Source organism: Homo sapiens, chromosome 12, assembly GCF_000001405.40.
Source record: "Homo sapiens chromosome 12, GRCh38.p14 Primary Assembly".
Lineage (NCBI taxonomy): Eukaryota > Metazoa > Chordata > Mammalia > Primates > Hominidae > Homo > Homo sapiens.
This window is the reverse complement of record NC_000012.12, coordinates 38,997,556-39,015,355: the sequence shown is the minus strand read 5'-3', so window position 1 is coordinate 39,015,355 and position 17,800 is coordinate 38,997,556.

The window sequence follows — 17,800 nt, the reverse complement described above, 5'->3', positions numbered from 1 at the left end:
GTTGGATGATTGTAACTGCCAAAAAGAAAAATTATCTAGGAGGTGGAGTAGGAAGTTTGAAAACTTAAACAAGATTGAAATTTAAATAGGGTGGTCAGAGAAGGTGATAATTGGTAACAAAGGCCAGAGGCTGGACCATGGATATATTTGAGGGAAGAGTATTCACGAAAGGAAAGAGCAAATACAAAAATTCAAAGCAGAACATGCCTGGCATTTTCTAGGAATGGCAAGAAAGCCAGTAGAGCTACAGCAGAGTACTCAGGGGTGACAACCGTAGAGGAAAAGGTCACAGAGATATAGAGGCAGCATTGCAGACCATTGCAAGATCTTTGGCTTTTGCTCTGAGTGAAATAGAAAACCACTGGTGGGTTTTAAGCAAAAGTTTTAAAAGGATCGCTCTGGTTGCTATATTGAGAATAGACTATAGGGAGCAAAAACAGTGTGAAGACAGAGGTGAATCCAGGTTTTGTTAAAGCTTTCTACAATTTGAACAACTCTGTTTAAGAAAAAATATTTAAAAATTACAAATGGAAAATTAGGCATACAATTATGGAGGAGGTCACGCAAAAAGCAGTCATGAAACTTCAACTTTATTAGCTTCCAGATAAATCCATTTCAGGTCCCTATTGAAAAGAGAGGCAAATTAAGTAGATGCTATTACAACAGTCCAGGCAAAAGAAAATGGTGGTGGCCTGAGATAGTGGCAACAGAGTGAATGACATGTGGTCAGATTCTGCATGTATTTTAAATATAGAATTAACAGGATTGGTTGACAGATTAGATGGTGAGCTTCAAGAAAAAGAAATTAAAAATGATGTATGTCCATAGCCACTGGAAAATTTGAATTGCCATTCACAGAACAGAAATGGGTGGTATCTATTCTTGTGCAATGACATTTATAGCTTTGTGAAACTGTTGCTAATTTGCCAGTGTATGCTACTCAAGACCAGGGACACAATGTTGTTTATTGCCATGCCTCATAGAGCTTCTAACTTACCATCTCACACATTTAGATAATCAAAATATATCTGTTGAATGAGTGATCTTTATCTGTTCTGTTACCTCAATGGGAAGTAAGAAAACTATGCCCATTATTACTCATTGAGTTTCTATTTTTATGTAAGGATATGAATGAACCAGCCAATTTTGGGACAGGCCAATACCCAAGATGTGAAGAGAATACTCTAAACTACCCACCCTATGTACCTGGTAAATACACTGAAAATGCCAAATGGTTTTGAAGCATTTTCACATCCTGTAAGGAAAAGTCTCCTTACTGCTGTCAGTTTGTCTTAGGAAAATATAAACTCAGCAATAAGTAGTTCATAGCTCACCAATCTAAAAATAATCCAGAAAACTCAGAATACCTATGTGTGCCTACTGTACTCCTTCAGTGGGAAGGCCTTGGAATGTCTGAGAATTGTGTCCTTACTTGTCTAGGGAGGAACCAGAGATTCTCTTCATAGACTGTCCTTCCAAGGAGGCAGGTTATGGTGTTGCAGCTGACTCTTAGATGACTGAATTCTTCCCTTTGGCTACAAGGTGTGTTCACTTTAGTTTCCATAATTTTTGCTATTTCTGTAACTAGTCTACAATAAAAAATGCTACAAGATGGAAAAGTCATGAAAATTTAATTGAGAAGTAGAGTTTTGCAGTCAGAGTAAAAGAGGCTTACCCTTGGCTGAAGATTTCAACTTTGAGTGATTATAGTCCTTCATTTACATTTCCTTTGCAATTACAGCCATTTTCATCTGCAGTGATTCAGTTCCCAGTGAAACCTTAAAAAAAAGAGAAAAGCAAAATACGATAAAATTCAGTTCAGAGAACTGGTGTTCCATAAAGTCCTGCTTACCTTCCTTGAATCCTGGAGACAAGGACCCCTCCTCCACATTTTACTTGTTAGGCAAAAGAAATGGTGTGAAATTATTATTTCCTCTTTTATCATTGTCTGAAATATCTAAATGAAAATATCAAGTAGGCAGCAAGATATGTAGGTCTAGAGAGAAGTCATATGGGCTTGAGATTAAAAAAAAAAACCCACTGGGAATTAGATGCATAAAAATGGCATCTAAACCCAAAGGGATGGATGATTCAATGTACTAAGAATGACAGAGTATTAAAAAGTAAAATCAACAAGTGGGCCTCCCAATTCTGAGTTCTAAGTGAACCTGCACCCCAACATTAAGACTTTGTATAGAATAAAATATACAGCTAGGAAAACCAAACTGATGCAATTGGATAGGGAGGAAGAATGGCAGGAATACATGACTCAGCTGAGAAGACTGCATAGTCATTTCTATCAGATGCTGCCAAATAGCAAATACAATGAGTGGAGACTGTGTGTAGAGTTCAGCAATATAAAGATTGACAATATTCGTTTCAATGGAGTAGTGGGAATGGATATCAAACTGAAGTCAGTTCAAAAGTGAAAGGAAGGTGAGAAAGTAGAGACAGAGGTTCTTATTGTTGCTGGAAGAAGAAAATGTGTACAGATGCATATAGATGGAAGGATTCAGTTTTTACAATTTTTCATCAGTGGGAGTGATATGGGGAATGCGATTGAATTTGGGGAGTAAGAAGTTTGAAGAGAGAATTCACTTTCAAAAAGTGAATTTTTGTAAGAAGCATAGCGGGATTCTCCGGTGGTATTGAGAATTCATTTGAGGTTTGCATTCTTGAAGCAAAGGATGAAGAAGAATAGAGAGAAGGAAATTTAGGTTTTTGGATTTGAAAATGTCAGTGTTGCTCTCTGAACTGTATTTGATCAAAATGTCAGGGAGTCCATGAAGTCACACGCAATAACTTCAGCAATAAGACACCCGTGTCCTATAGTACACAGTAGTATAGAAACATTTGCCCAGAAAGTCAGCTCACATTACACAGGAACATGACAACATGATACAGAGAATAAGCATGGGCATTAGTGTCACAATGGCTCCCAGTCCTGGCTCAAGCACTTCCTTTTCTTATGAATTCAGAAAAGGTCTTTCACTTCTTTTGACTGTAGAACAGGGAATATGAATACTATTTACAAGTTAAGGATTTAAAATATTATATGTCAGAGTGACTGACATACAGTAAGTGTACATAAGATAGCTACTACTGTATCTATTACAAACAATTTGGGAGGACTTACATGTAACTCCAAATACTTGGAAAAACACTGCAAATAAGCAACTAATATAGCCAATGATTATTATAACAATTTTCCATCATCTTCAGTCTTGAGAGTATGAAGACAATTGTCTATCAAAGCGAATCCTCATTTTTGCCTTGATTGGAATAATTATTTCACAAGTGATAGTCTAGTGCTTAGCTACCTTATTTCTGGTTCATATTCTTTTAAGGAACAAATCTATCACTATGTGAAACTTAGAAAAAAAAAGGAAAGAGGATGAATCAAAGAAGAAAGAGAATGTTAATGCCAATTTGGAACATGAAAGAAAGAAACAAGGCCAGTTAAGCTCCCAGATGCATTATTTCTAAAACAGATTTTTGTAAAAGGTTCTGAAGAAATCTGTTTGCAGTCAGGGTGAGTGTCACCAAGATACTGAGCCTAAAGACTATAAAGACCTGATGCAGCCTCCCATGAATATTCCTATTCCCCATGCTATTTTTAAACAATATTAAAATTTTTTTCTCTCTTTTACAATACAACCATCTAAGATTTTTACTGTTTTGTGTAATCTCTTTGACTGGTAACTGTTTCTGATTGTATAAAGTTAGGCATTTGAGATAATTAGGAGTTATATTCTGGTTAAAGTACAGGAGTTCTATAATTAACTGCTGGATTTCAGTGGGTAATTATCTAGATTTGTAAATTTTTTCTTCCTGGCTGAGCAGGCTGGCTCTATTATGACATAGTTAATGCTTAAAACGTTTTCTCAGAAGTGAAAGAATATGATGAGGTAGCTGCCTTCATCTACAGGGGGTAAGAAAATTATTACACAGTGTCTAGATTCCTGTGTCATGGTTTTACATGTACTACAAATGGCTTTAACATGAACTGAGCTAAGTATGTAGTTAAATTTAAACCATAACTGATACCCAAGGTAAGGTGACTCAGGTGTTCTTTACATACCAAAAAATCATGAAGCGTTTCATTAGACTTATTCCCAAATATGTAGATTTTGAGGTCAAATGTCAAGAGGCCCTACAGCTCTTTAGAAACATGTTCTCTTCTAAATTATAACAGGTTGGGGGAAAAGTTTATGGTAGAAACAGTAATGCTTGAAATGGACGAAATTCTCCCTTCTCCTCTTTCCAAGGAGACCAGCCCTTTGGCATCTTATGTGTCTTCAAAATGTATCATAAATTCAGCTTAAAGTGATACTAATGTCTCAATTTTATTGATACATATCCAAAAGAGAGGCAAACATTTCAAGGCAGCAAAACCAGTACTAGAATTAGATTTTCTTGTCTATTAGACTCTAATCCTTGCTACCGTGTTGAACAAAATGCAGTTTAAAAAGTCATAAAAGCTGAAATTCATGATTCCAAAGGAAAAAGCCAAGAAATAGAAAAATAAGGGGAGGACAGCTTCCAGTGTGAATCCCTACAATGGAACACGTTAAAAGTGGTATATGAAGAGATGTCTTTGAGTAGACTTGTTTAGGTCAAGCTTTTGTGATATGTACTGGTTATGTTTTGAGAGATATGATTTAACACTGGGAATCTTTGGATCTAGGTACAAAGGAGATACATGGATGAGAGGCTTTTGGAATTCTGCCACTCTTGTTTGAATATTAGGCACATGTCCAAGGCTCATGCTTTCCTAGCAGCACAGCTGCTGGAGGCATATCATCTCTAGCCACATACAGTACTTGACCTCTTCCACTGCAAGGTAAGAGTGGGTCTATTGAAAGACAAGTGTTTGACCAGAGGTTGCAAGTTCTGCTTCAGTGCTGCATGTTTTATAGATTTTAGCACAGAACATATCTTTTTTTTTTTCTATTTTTGAGGCAGGGTTTCACTCTGTCACACAGGCTAGAGTGCAATAGCATAATCATAGCTCACTGCAGCCTCGATCTCCTGGGCTCAAATAATCCTCCCACCTTAGCCTTCTGAGTAGCTGGAACCACAGGCCCACAGGTCCACTCACCACCATACCTGGATAACTTTTGTATTTATTTATTTATTTATTTATTTTTTGTAGAGACAGGGTTTTACTAGACTGCCCAGTCTAGTCTAGAACTCCTAGGCTCAAGAGATCCACCCAACTAGGACTCAGCCTCCCTAACTGCTGGGATTACAGGCGTGAGCCACTGCATCCAGCCCAACGTACCCTTTTCATCTTGGTCTTTCTGCAACCTCTCCTTTCCCACATTGCAGTTTTTATACTCATAGTAATCTTGAGGACTGTTGAAAATATATAAGAAATGTCTTCATATTTTAGGACCTTGTGTATAGTAGGATGCTATTAGTGTGATTAAGATCCTACAGAATATGATTTAGTCCTATCTGTAATCTAATCGACATCCAACTCATTTCAAGTGTTTAGCACAGAGATGAAGAATGGGGAGTTATTACGAAGAGGAGTTGAATTTCAATTTCAAAAAAGTACAGCAGTTAGGGACGCTAGGCATATACTAAGAAACAGTTCATGAAATATAGGTAGGCCTTGGAGATATTGTGGGTTAGGTTCCAAACCACTGCAATAAAGCAAATATCACAATAAAGAGAGCCACATGAATTTTTTTGTTTTCCAGAGCATACAAAAGTTATGTTTACACTATACTATAGGTTATGAAGTATGCAATAGTGTTATGTCTAAAAAAATAAGTTATTAATTAACAACACTTTATTGCTAAAAAAATGCTATCATCTGAACCTTCATAAAGTTGTAATCTTTTTGCTGGTCTTGCTTCAAGGTTGATGGCTGCTGACTGATCAAGGTGGTGGTTGCTGAAGGTTGGGGTGGCTGTGGCAATTTCTTAAATAAGACAACAATGAAGTTTTCCATATTAATTTATTCTTCCTTTCACAAAAGATTTCTCTGTAACCTGTGATACTGTTTGATAGCATTTTACCCATACGAGAACTTCTTTCAAAATTGGAGTAGTCAACCCTCTCAAACCCTGCTACTGCTTTATCAACTAGGTTTGTGTAATATTCTAAATCCTTTCTTATCATGTCAACAATGTTTCCAGCATGTTCACCAAGAGTAGATTATATCTCAAGAAACTACTTTCTTTGCTCATCCATAAGAAGCAACATCTCATCCATTCAAGTTTGATCATGAGATTGCATCAATTTAGTCACACCTTCAGGCTCCACTTCTAATTCTAGTTTTTGTTTTTAGCACCATATCTGTGGTTATTTCTGCCACTGATGTCTTGAACCCCTCAATGTCATCCATGAGGATTGGAATTAACTTATTCCAAACTCCTATTAATGTTGATATCTTGACCTTCTCCCATGAATCACAAATATTCTTACTAGAGTCTAGAATGGGGGGTCCAGAAGTCTTTCAATTTACTTTGCCCAGATCCAGCAGAGGAATCACAATCTATAGAAGCTATAACTATGAAATGTACTCTTTCAATAAGAAGATTTGAAAGTTGAAATCACTCCTTGATCCATGGGCTCAAGAATAGATGTTGTGTTAGCAGGCATGAAAAACAACATTAATCTTCTTGTATATCTTCATCGGAGGTCTTGGGTGACCAGGTGCATTATCAATGAGCAGTAATATTTTGAAAGAAATCTTTTTTTCTGAGAAGTTGGTCTCAGCAGCTTGAAATAGTAAGTCATGCTGTAAACAGATGTGCTCTCATCCAGGCTTTGTTGTTCCATTTACAGAGCAGATTTAGCATAGAGTAGATTTAGAGTAGATTTTGCAAAATTCTTAAGGGCTCTAGGGTTTTTGAAATGGGAAATGAGAATTAGCTTCAACTTAAAGTCACCAGCTCATTAAGTCCTAACAAGAGTCAGCCTGTGCTTTGAAGCTTTGAAGCCAAGCATTGATTTCTCCTCTTTAGCTGTGAAAGTCCTAGATGACATCTTCTTCCAACAGAAAATTGGAAAATAGAAGACTGAAAATCTATTGTTTGATGAATCTACCTTTATCAATTACCTTAGGTATATCTTCTGTATAACTTGCTGCAGCTTCTCCATCAGCACTTGATGCTTCACCTTACACTTTTATGTTATGAAGATGACTTATTTCCTTAAATCTTCTCTGCTGGCTTCAAACTTTTCTTCTGCAGCTTCTTCACCTCGCTCAGCCTTCAGAGAATTGAAGAGAGTTAGGGCCTTGCTCTGGAATAGGGTTTGACTTAAGGGAATGTTGTGGCTGGTTTGATCTTGTATCCAGATTTCTCACATTTCTCAAATATCAACAATAAAGCTGTTTAGCTTTCTTATCATTCATGTGTTCACTGGAGTAACAATTCTAATATCCTTCATAAACTTTTCCTTTGCGTTTACACATTGGCTAACTGTTTGGCACAAGAGGCCTAGCATTTGGCCTGTATCAGCATTTGACTTGCCTTTCTCACTAAGCTAAATCATTTCAAGCTTTTGATTTAAAGTGAGAGATGTGTGACTCATCCTTTCACTTGAATATTTAGAGGACATTGTAGGGCCATTAATTGGCCAAATTTCAATATTACCATGTCTCAAGGAATAGGGAGACCTAAGGAGAGGGAGAGAAAAGGGGGAATAGCTGGTCAGTGGGTCAGAACACCCACAACATTTATCGATTAAGTTTGCTCTCTTATATAGGCACGGCTTGTGGTACCCCCAAATAATTACAATACTAACATCAAAGACCCCTGATCACAAATCACCATAACAGATGTAATAATAATGAAAATGTTTGAAATATTATGAGAATTACCAAAATGTGACTGAGACATGACATGAGCACATGCTGTTGGAAAAATGGCACCAGTAGACTTGCTCCATGCAGGGTTGCCATAAACCTTCAATTTGTAAAAAATGCAGTATCTACAAAGCAAGGTGCAATAAAATAAGGTATACCTGTATAAGGTAATAGTATTAAATTCCAGAGAAAACAGTACATCTGTGTACGTTTAGCAAACTATTTTAAAAGAAGTTAGGCTGGGCGTGGTGGCTCATGCCTGTAATCCCAGTACTTTGAGAAGCTGAGGCGGGCAAATCACGAGGTCAAGAGTTCGAGACCATCCTGGCCAACATGGTGAAACCCCATCTCTACTAAAAATACAAAAATTAGCTCAGTGTGGTGGTGCACTTCCAGCTACTTGGGAGGCTGAGGCAGGAGTATCACTTGAACCCGGGAGGCAGAGGTTGCAGTGAGCCGAGATCATGCCACTGCACTCCAGCCTGGTGATAGAGCGAGACTCCATCTCAAAAAAAAAAAAAAAAAAAAGTTATACTGAATGCAAAGACTTTTTTCAAATTTTTTATGTTCAACTTAAAATTGTATATATTTATGGTACAGAACATGATGTTTTGTTATATCTACACAATGTGGAATAACTAAGTCACAATAATTAATATATCCATTACCCTACATATTTATTTTTTGTAGTGAAAACATTTAAAATCTCCTAGTAATTTCAAGTAGATAATACATTGTTATTAACTATATTTGGCATGTTTTACAATAGATCTGAATTTATTCTTCTTGTCTAACTAAAATTTTGTACCATTTGAAAAACATCTCCTCAATTCCCCACCAGCCCCTGGGAATCACCATTCTACTCTCCGCTTCTATGAGTTTGACCTTTTAAGATTCTGCTTTAAAGTGAAATCATGTGGTATTTATTTTCCTGTGTCTGTCTTATTTCAGTTAGCACAATGTCATCCAGATTCTGTTCACTTGAGAAGGGTGCTTCCCAACTCTGAGAGGGGCAACCACAAACTACTTCTCACTTGCCCTGTAATTGGTACCATGCCATCAGTAAGAATACTTAGAATTCTTGCAGATTACTCAGTAGGAATACTTAGAAGTCATTAATAGGAATAAGTAGGAATTACATCAGTAGGAATACTTAGAACTCTTGCAGGTTAATCATGCAGGTTAGTTTTCTGTTTCTGCCATAACAAATTTACCACAAATGTAGTCGCTGAAAAACAGCATGAATTTATTATTATCATACAGTTGTGTAAGTTAGGAATCTGACATGAGGCTCACTGGATGAAAATCAAGGTACTGGCAGAACTGCCTTTCTTTCTGGAAGCTCTGGGGGAGAAACCCTTTACTCTCCTTTCCAGCTCCCACACTCCTTGGCTCATGGCCCCTTTCCTTGACTTCAAAGTCAGCAATGTTTTTTGTATCTCTCTCTGACCTTCTTTCAGCTTCACATCTTTCTGAACATAACTGGGAAAGGTTTCATTCTTTTAAGGATTCATGTTTTTGGATTGCACCCACCTGGATAATCCAGGATATTCTTCCTATCTCAGAGGTCTTAATTTTTTTTTAAAAAAAATTGACACATAATAATTGTACATATTTATAGGGTATAAAGTGATGTTTCAGTACCTACAATGCATAATGATTAGATCAGCATAATTAGCATATCCATCATCTCAAACATGTATCATTTCTTTGTGTTGGAAACATTCAATATGCTCTTCCAGGTGTTTGAAAATGTATAATATATTATTGTTAACTCTAGTCATCCTACAGTGCTATGAAATGCTAGAATCCATTCATCCTATCTAGCTGTAATTTTGTGTCCTTTAACAAATCTCTCCCTATCCCCTATCTCCTCCTACTCTTCTCAGCCTCTAGTAACCTCTGTTTTACTTTTTACTTCTGTGAGATCAACCTTCTCTTAGCTTTAGCATGTGAGTGAGAGCATGTAGTGTTTATCAAAGTTCTTAATCTTTATCTCATCAGCAAAATTCCTTTTGCCATAGAAAGTAACATTCACAGGTTCCAAGGATTGGACATGAACAATTTTGAGAACTATTGTTCTGCATACCACACCATGACCACAAAGCTTTATTACTATCTAGTCTTCTTTTGCTTAATTTTGACTCAGTAGACTTTATTCTTACTTTGGTTCCAAATTGTGCACAAACCTTTTCTCAACCAGTTTACCACATTTTTTGGATTCGATAATGTTTACCAAATTTCTCCTCAATCTTTTCCTACTAAGTCTGATCACTTCATCACTCGTTAAACTCTGTGGATTTCATAAGACTCCATTCTAATCTAAATCATGGCTATATGGGAAGTATTGCATTACTTTATTTCCTTTAAAACAAATCAAATCTGTTAGCCCCTATCTCAGGTGTAAAAACCTTTCTCAGTTGCTACTGCAGTACTCCTCTTTCTACTCTCAGTGTCATGCCAAGATTGTTTCAGGCAGAGAAAAGCTATTTGAGAAAGGTGTTTGAGTCTTTGTTTCTGTGGAGATGGAAGCCCAATTGTTCAAACCCAAAGTCTGCCAAAATTCTTGTCCTTCTATTATTTCTTTTAGTGCATGTGGGACATCTTTGTAGGGCTCAGGAACCTTGTAGTCTACAGATACAGATAGTCTCCTGAGGTGCTCTACATATTCATTTTCCTTTAAATGTCCTTTCTTTTCTCTAGGGTATTGGGAGTGTAGACTCAAGGCTGAGCACCAAATCTCTATCTCCTCCTAATGCCTTAAAGCTAATACCCCCTACTCTAGCCTTGGTGAATTTGCCTCTTTTCCCTCGTGGCCTTCATATGCAAGCCCCTTTGTCTTGTACCCCCTCACATAATTTCCTTAAAAAGATTAGATTTCTGGAGGTAAAACCTGGAGATAAATTAGTCTGCTGAGACCTACTGCTTTTCAGAGAGCCTTCACAAACATCTGTTGAAATAAAGGGGACATCCTGAAACATCTTGAAACAATGGGGAGAAAAAGTACTGCTAAAATGAAACACAAGTTAATAATTTCATAAACCATTTCTTCATGCTACAGTTTACTTGCTAGTACAGATTTATGTCACTCCAGGACTGATCTTATTAGTTCTCTAGCTAGATGTGCACAGCAGCTTCCCTCCAAGTTGCAATAAGTGCCTCGAGGTTAGACTTCATAATTTTAGGATAAACAAATAAATAGAATCCTAGTAGGCAGGTTGAGACTATACTTAAAAGGTCTACATTGTACAGACTGTGTAAATTAGGAAATATTTGTATTTCATATAATTCATATTCATATTTATATTTAATATAAATATAAGTAATGTTTATTAATAATATAATAAACTATAAAGTAGTAATATGAAAATATATATTATTTATACTAATTATTTCATTTAATTCTCACAACATACCACTGAAGTAAGAATTGCTAGAACCATTTTCCAGATGAAGAAACTGAGGCTCGTGAAGTACCTTACTCAAGGTCACAGTGTTAGTAAATGACTGTGCCAGGACTTAAGCTCTATGAAGATCTGGGCTTTTACCACCAGGCTGTGCTGCTCATAGCGCAGTGTACTAACCAGTGGACTTCAATCTGGAGGTCCAAGCTGAGTAGAACTGTCACATAAGTAGGAGTTTAGATTTAAAGCTGACACTCAAAATTGAACTTTCATCTTTGGAGTTTGTTTGACAGAATTCAACACCAGCAGGCAGAGAGGTACACACACGCCAGTCTTGTGTTTGTCTGTAATCTGTAGTCAGTTTGAAAACCTCTCAAACTCATTGTCATTTTATTTTATTCAAATAATGTGGAAGATTATAAAGCAGGACAAAAAGGCAAATCCTTTTCATGCTTCCCTTTGCATTACAGTGACTATTGTTAATATTCTATACAGCCTAAGGCATGGGGAAAAATAATTTTCCAATCAAAGGCAAAGTTTTCTCTAAACTTAAATAAAATGATAAAAGTTGCTACATTTAAAAATAACTTTCTTTTTACAAGGACCTTGAAGAATATATTCTTACAGAGTATATCTTTTAATAGTTTTTCTGAATTATTCCCCTAGTTTTCACGTTTTAGACTTTTATGCAGCAATTTTTTTCTTACTCATCTTGCTTCAGCTACGTAATGCAAATATATTTCAGAGATAGGTATTGTATTTTTATGTGTGCGATTTGTTATGATATTATAAATCTATATATATTTTGGAAGGTGCTGTGCCCACAGGGTACAAGACACTATTCTTGATTATTTACATCTCTTTCACTTTTGAAAGAAATGGAAAAGCAGAAGGGGATGGGCTAATCCCTACTGTGAATAGTTTTTAGGAAGCAAGGATTAATCTCCAGCCCTTTATCTTATTTGTTTCAACACTCAGTTAATTTAGAAGGAGAAGTCCCTTCTTGTCCTAATCTCTCCTTTCCAGAAAGTTCCAGGTTCTGCCAACAGTAGATAAAACCTTTATTCCTTTCTGTGTGTATGCAGAAGCAACGATTCTTACAGCAGGAAGGAAACATTAGTGGTACCTAGCATTTTTCCTACATTGCAATAACACTGCTGTAATTTTTTCTACAGTTGCAAAGTCTTCTATTCTTAAAAATTTTCAGGAAGAAAATCATTATTTGGTCTGGTAATATTTTTCTTATACTTAACATAATCTTTGTGTACTATACACCTATTTCCTCTCATTCAGTTATTTGTAGGAATGGGAGATAATTTCCTAGTTATTGTGCTCTCTGTAGGAATCCTTTATATGCTTGCTAAAGAATCATTCATTTGGAAAATATTTCTTGATCGCTTCCTATCTGTTACGCACAGTACAAGATGCTAGACACCTACCATCTACCCTCACTATCAATGGGGCAGGACAAACATACCTAAAAGACAGCTGTCTCTAGAAAGCTGACAGTCTAGTGAAGGTGACCAACATGTAAACATACAGTCAAATATAATCAGAGATTTCCAGGTGATAATGGCAAAATAAAACTACACTCAGAATCTTCCATTTACTGCATCCCATTTCATTCAGTAATTAATGAAATTTTTGAAAATGGGAAAAAGCAAAATTTATCAGTAGCAACCAAAAAAGGAAAGGGAATTCCTTCTTAAGCCTTTACCTTCAAAAGTGGCAGAGGATATCACAGCGTGGATTCTTTAGAAAATAGAGACTGAGGCAAAGTTTATCTGGTAAATGCTGTTTTGATGGGGAAGGAATCAATGCTAAGCAGAAGGGTAAGGAAGAGAGGGAAATGAGGCTGGGAAGAAAAGGAACCATCATTCTCAGCAAACTAACGCAAGGACAAAAAACCAAACACCGCATGTTCTCACTCATAGGTGGGAATTGAACAATGAGAACATATGGGCACAGGAAGGGGAACATCACACACCGGGGACTGTTGTGGGGTGGGGGGAGGGGGGAGGGATAGCATTAGGAGATATACCTAATGCTAAATGACAAGTTAATGGGTGCAGCACACCAACATGGCACATGTATACATATGTAACAAACCTGCACGTTGTGCACACGTACCCTAAAACTTAAAGTATAATAATAATAAAAATAAAAAAAACATTATTTGAACCACTAAAAAAAAAAAGAAAAGGAACCAAATGCAAGGTGGCATGTTAACCTGTTGCTCAGTCATCTCAATTTTTATCAAAGTGGTGAGTGTGAAATGTCAACTCTGTATGTATTTAATTTGCATATTTCTGATTATAAATGAGACTAAGCATGTTTCCTCTTTGTTAGCTTTTTAGGTTTTATCGACTGGTTCAAGTGTTTTCCCCATTTTTCTGTTGGGACGTGAGCTTTCTTATACTGATTTTTTGGTTATATGTATTAAAATATCTCCGATAATTTCTGGCTTATATTTTCATGCTCTTTTTAGTATCTCTTGTTGAACACAGGTTCTTAACTAAAATATTGTCAAATTTACCAATCCTTTTCTTTAACAATTTGTAACAATATTTTTGAAGCTGTGGTCATAAAGATATATTATTTTAAAAGTATTTTATAATTTTGCCCTTTCACATTTGGGCCTTTAATCTAGTTCGAGTTGATTTTGAGAAGTATGTGATAACAATATAAATTCATTTTTTTCTATGTGGAGAAAGAATTGTCCCAGAACCAATGAAAAGTCTATCCTTTTCCCCCAGTGATCTGCACTACTTATTTTTTCTCGTGATAGGTATCCATGTGTGCTATGTGTTGCTTCTACACTACTTTTTCTGTTCATTGGTTCATTTTTCTTTCCCTTAACCAATTTGATACTGCTTTAATTTCTAATGATTTATAATAAGTCATCAAAAAGGGTAGAAAATAGGTCTTCCCACCTTGGCCTTCTTTAAGAGTATTTTGGCTGTTGTTGCCATTAAATCCATATAACAATTTGGAAAGAATCAATATCTTCTTCATACAGTTTCCAAAGATATGGTATTGTTCATCCTGTATTTGTCTTTAAAATTACTTTTCATAAAAGTTTATAATTTCTTTATGAAGTTTTTGACTCATTTGGTTAATCATATTTCTAGATTCTCTATATTTGGATGCTATTTTAAAGGCCCTCTTTTAAGGCTTTCACTTACTATTTGTTGCTGATTTATGGAATGTAATTGTGTTTTTATATTGATTTTTTACCAGGAAAACTTGCTATACTGTCATATTAATTATCATAATTTATCTGATGACATTTTAAGATATTTTTGGGTAGAGTCTTATCTGTGAATGATCCATAGAATTGGTTCCCATTCTAACTTTTTCACTTTTTTTTTGTTTTTTTGCTTGACTTATTCCTAGGTGAGAACTCGAGTTCAGGATTGAATAAAAGTGGTGACAGCAGGCACTCTCTTGTTCCCAATCTCAATTAACTGTTTTTTGTTTTGTTTTGTTTAAATTTTAGAGGCAGAGTGTCACTCTACTGCCTAGGCTGGAGTGCAGTGGAGCGATCATAGCTAACTGCAGCCTTGAATTCCTGGGCTCAAGAAATTCTCTCATCTTGGCATCCCAGGGTTAGGATTACAGGCGTGAGCCACTGCACCTGGCTGAAGTGTTTTTAATATTTCACAGTAATGTATGAAATGTACTATAGATATTTTTGTAGCTAATCTTAATAAGGTTAAGAAAATTTTATTTTATTTTATTACTATTTAAGAAATTTTTTATCAATAATCAAGTTGAATTTATCACTTTTTTATATCTCTTGAGATAGTTATATTCTTCTTTTAAAATATATTAATATATGAATCATGTTGCTTGATTTTTTTAATGATAAATTAGTTTTATATTTCTGAGATAAATGCACCTTTGTCTTGATACTAATATTCAACTACGTCTCAAATTCAGGATACAATTTAAAATTTTTGTCATGTCAGGGTAACACTGTTTTCATTAATTAAAAAGACATTTATTGTTCCCAAAGAGCTCATAGACTAGTGAAGGTAACCAACATGCAAATAGATGAATAAAATACAATGATATTTAGATTATGTTAAGTATGCATATTTATTTTGTTTCATCCTTAGATATCACAGGTAGACTTTTGGCTCAGAAACATCATGCCCTGATTCCAAGACTTTTCTGGGATATCATTATGACACACATTTTCTGGCTGGTCACAAGCAGCACTTACTTTCTACTGCGTAGCTTGTAAATCTTCTTGAAATGTTCTTGATGTTTTAATACCCAAAAATTATTATTAAAATACCATTTAAGAAATAGGGAAAAAATTGTTTACAGTAGATGTTACATTTTGTTATATCATTTCTTAATTTGTTAAGGACTAGTAAACAATCTTCCTTTTCTAAGGTTTTATCTTGCTGATTTTACAAGTATTTCTAACAACCTATTTAAACAGCACAGAAGCAGAGTAAAATGGCCTTAATAGAAGCACAAAAACTTGTCTAAGACAGGCAAAAATCGAATCTAAATTTCAGATAAGTGGTGGAGGAAACAGAATTTTGGAACAATTTTATAATGTAGGATGTAATTGTTAACAAATGCTACAGTTTTAAAGGTTATGTGCACTAATGTTGCCTTTATCTTGCTTCGACTAAATTATCACTTATACTATTAGCTCTGAATAGAGCCATTTTTAAACCTGATTAAATATTGATGTGTAAAGTCCCTACCATTAGAGTCATAAGTCAGGATTTATGCATGTTGTTACACTGAGTGCAGTACACTCCAAGCTTGGCAGACAAAACCTTTTCCCTCCTGGAGTTAACAATCCCAGATCTTGAAGCAACTTATCCGTGACCACCTGATTCATGCTGTTCCTCTAATGAGGGTTTACTGTGTTGCATTATTTCTGTCTTTTCCTGTGTGTGTCTACTAGGAGACTCTCCTAGCCTGCATTAGTAAAAATGGGTTTATGGGCTCAGGGATAGAACACTGTGTTTCCATTTACTGCATCCTTGTCTGTTTAAAACAGGTTTTCATTTCAATTCAGGTTTATTACAGTACTTTGACAAGATGTCATAAACATGGGTAAAATATATATGATTGATAGAATCAGCCTGTCTGATTTACAGAGTGAGTTCTCAGAAATACTAGTTTTAAGGTATGAGAATCAAGATAGAACTGCTTATTTAGGTCATATCCAAGTATATGCCATTTTCATGTTTTGGAATAGAGCCATTTTTCTAGACCATTACATTCAGGAAATGTCGTGAAATTTGTTTGGTGAAAATAATAGATAATTACAGAGCTAAAGATGAACATGAGACATTTAACCGGGCTCTCTTAACTACTACTGAAAAATTCATAGGTTTTGATTTGACCGAAAACAAAATATACAAACTATCTAGTAAACTTGATGGACAAAGTTCTGAACATATATTTTTAAAATATGGCAATTAAATATATCTGCCAAAATATTACTCATGGACTGGTAAAAAAGAAGTTACCTTTAATATAAAAGTAATAATACATTAGAAAAATAGAATCATATGTCAAGGCTATAAAACAGAGAGTGGTTTATAGCTACTTTAGGTTCATTTATCCTATTTTAATAAGGATTCTAGATGTCTAGTCAGTTCTTCAGACTTTAGAATGTACCACACACACCTAGGTCCTAGGTCCATGAAACTGCTACTTGTATCTAACTCATAAAGAAGTTTAAGCAAGGGGGAGAAAGGGAAGGGGGAGGGATAGAAGAGGAAAAAGTTTAGACATGTATTTCTTTTCCGTGTTGAGAGATACATATCTGAACACTTTTCATTCTCTGAGATAAAGTGAACATGACTTCCAAATTCTGAACTTCACTAAAATCAAACAATGAACATTTTTCCTGAAGGACGTAACCATTTTAAATGGAAGCACTAGCAAGATTCACCTTGATAAGGCAATAGGAGTGTCTACTGAATTTATTAGTAGAGCTTCTATCATTCAATGTCATCAATCAATGCAACTTTTCTTTTTTTTCTCATTATTTTATCCTTGAGAGACAGAATAATTGGTCCTGAAGTTCTGGGTAAATAATGGCTAAAAATGAGATTCAAGTTGTTTAGCTAGGATGAAGTAGATTTGCAGCTGTAACTGCTCAGCACAATTTACTTGTTAAGTGCTGTTGTGATATATATATATTCTTTTAAACATTACAGCAGTCCTGTGAAGTTAAGTATTATTAGCTTCATTTTATAGTTGTTAAGTAAGTTGCTCAAAGTTACAAATATTTTTCATGGAAGAGATAATGGAGTTTAAACTTGATCTGTAGATTGCAATGCCCATTTCAATTTTTTCTTGATTTATTGGTTTGTAATCCCAGCACTTTGCGAGGCCGAGGCAGGCGGATCACGAGGTCAGGAGATCGAGACCATCCTGGCTAACACAGTGAAACCCCATCTCTACTAAAAACACAAAAACTTAGCTGGGCGTGGTGGCGGGCGCCTGTAGTCCCAGGTACTCGGGAGGCTGAGGCAGGAGAATGGCATGAACCCGGGAGGTGGAGGTTGCAGTGAGCCGAGATTGCGCC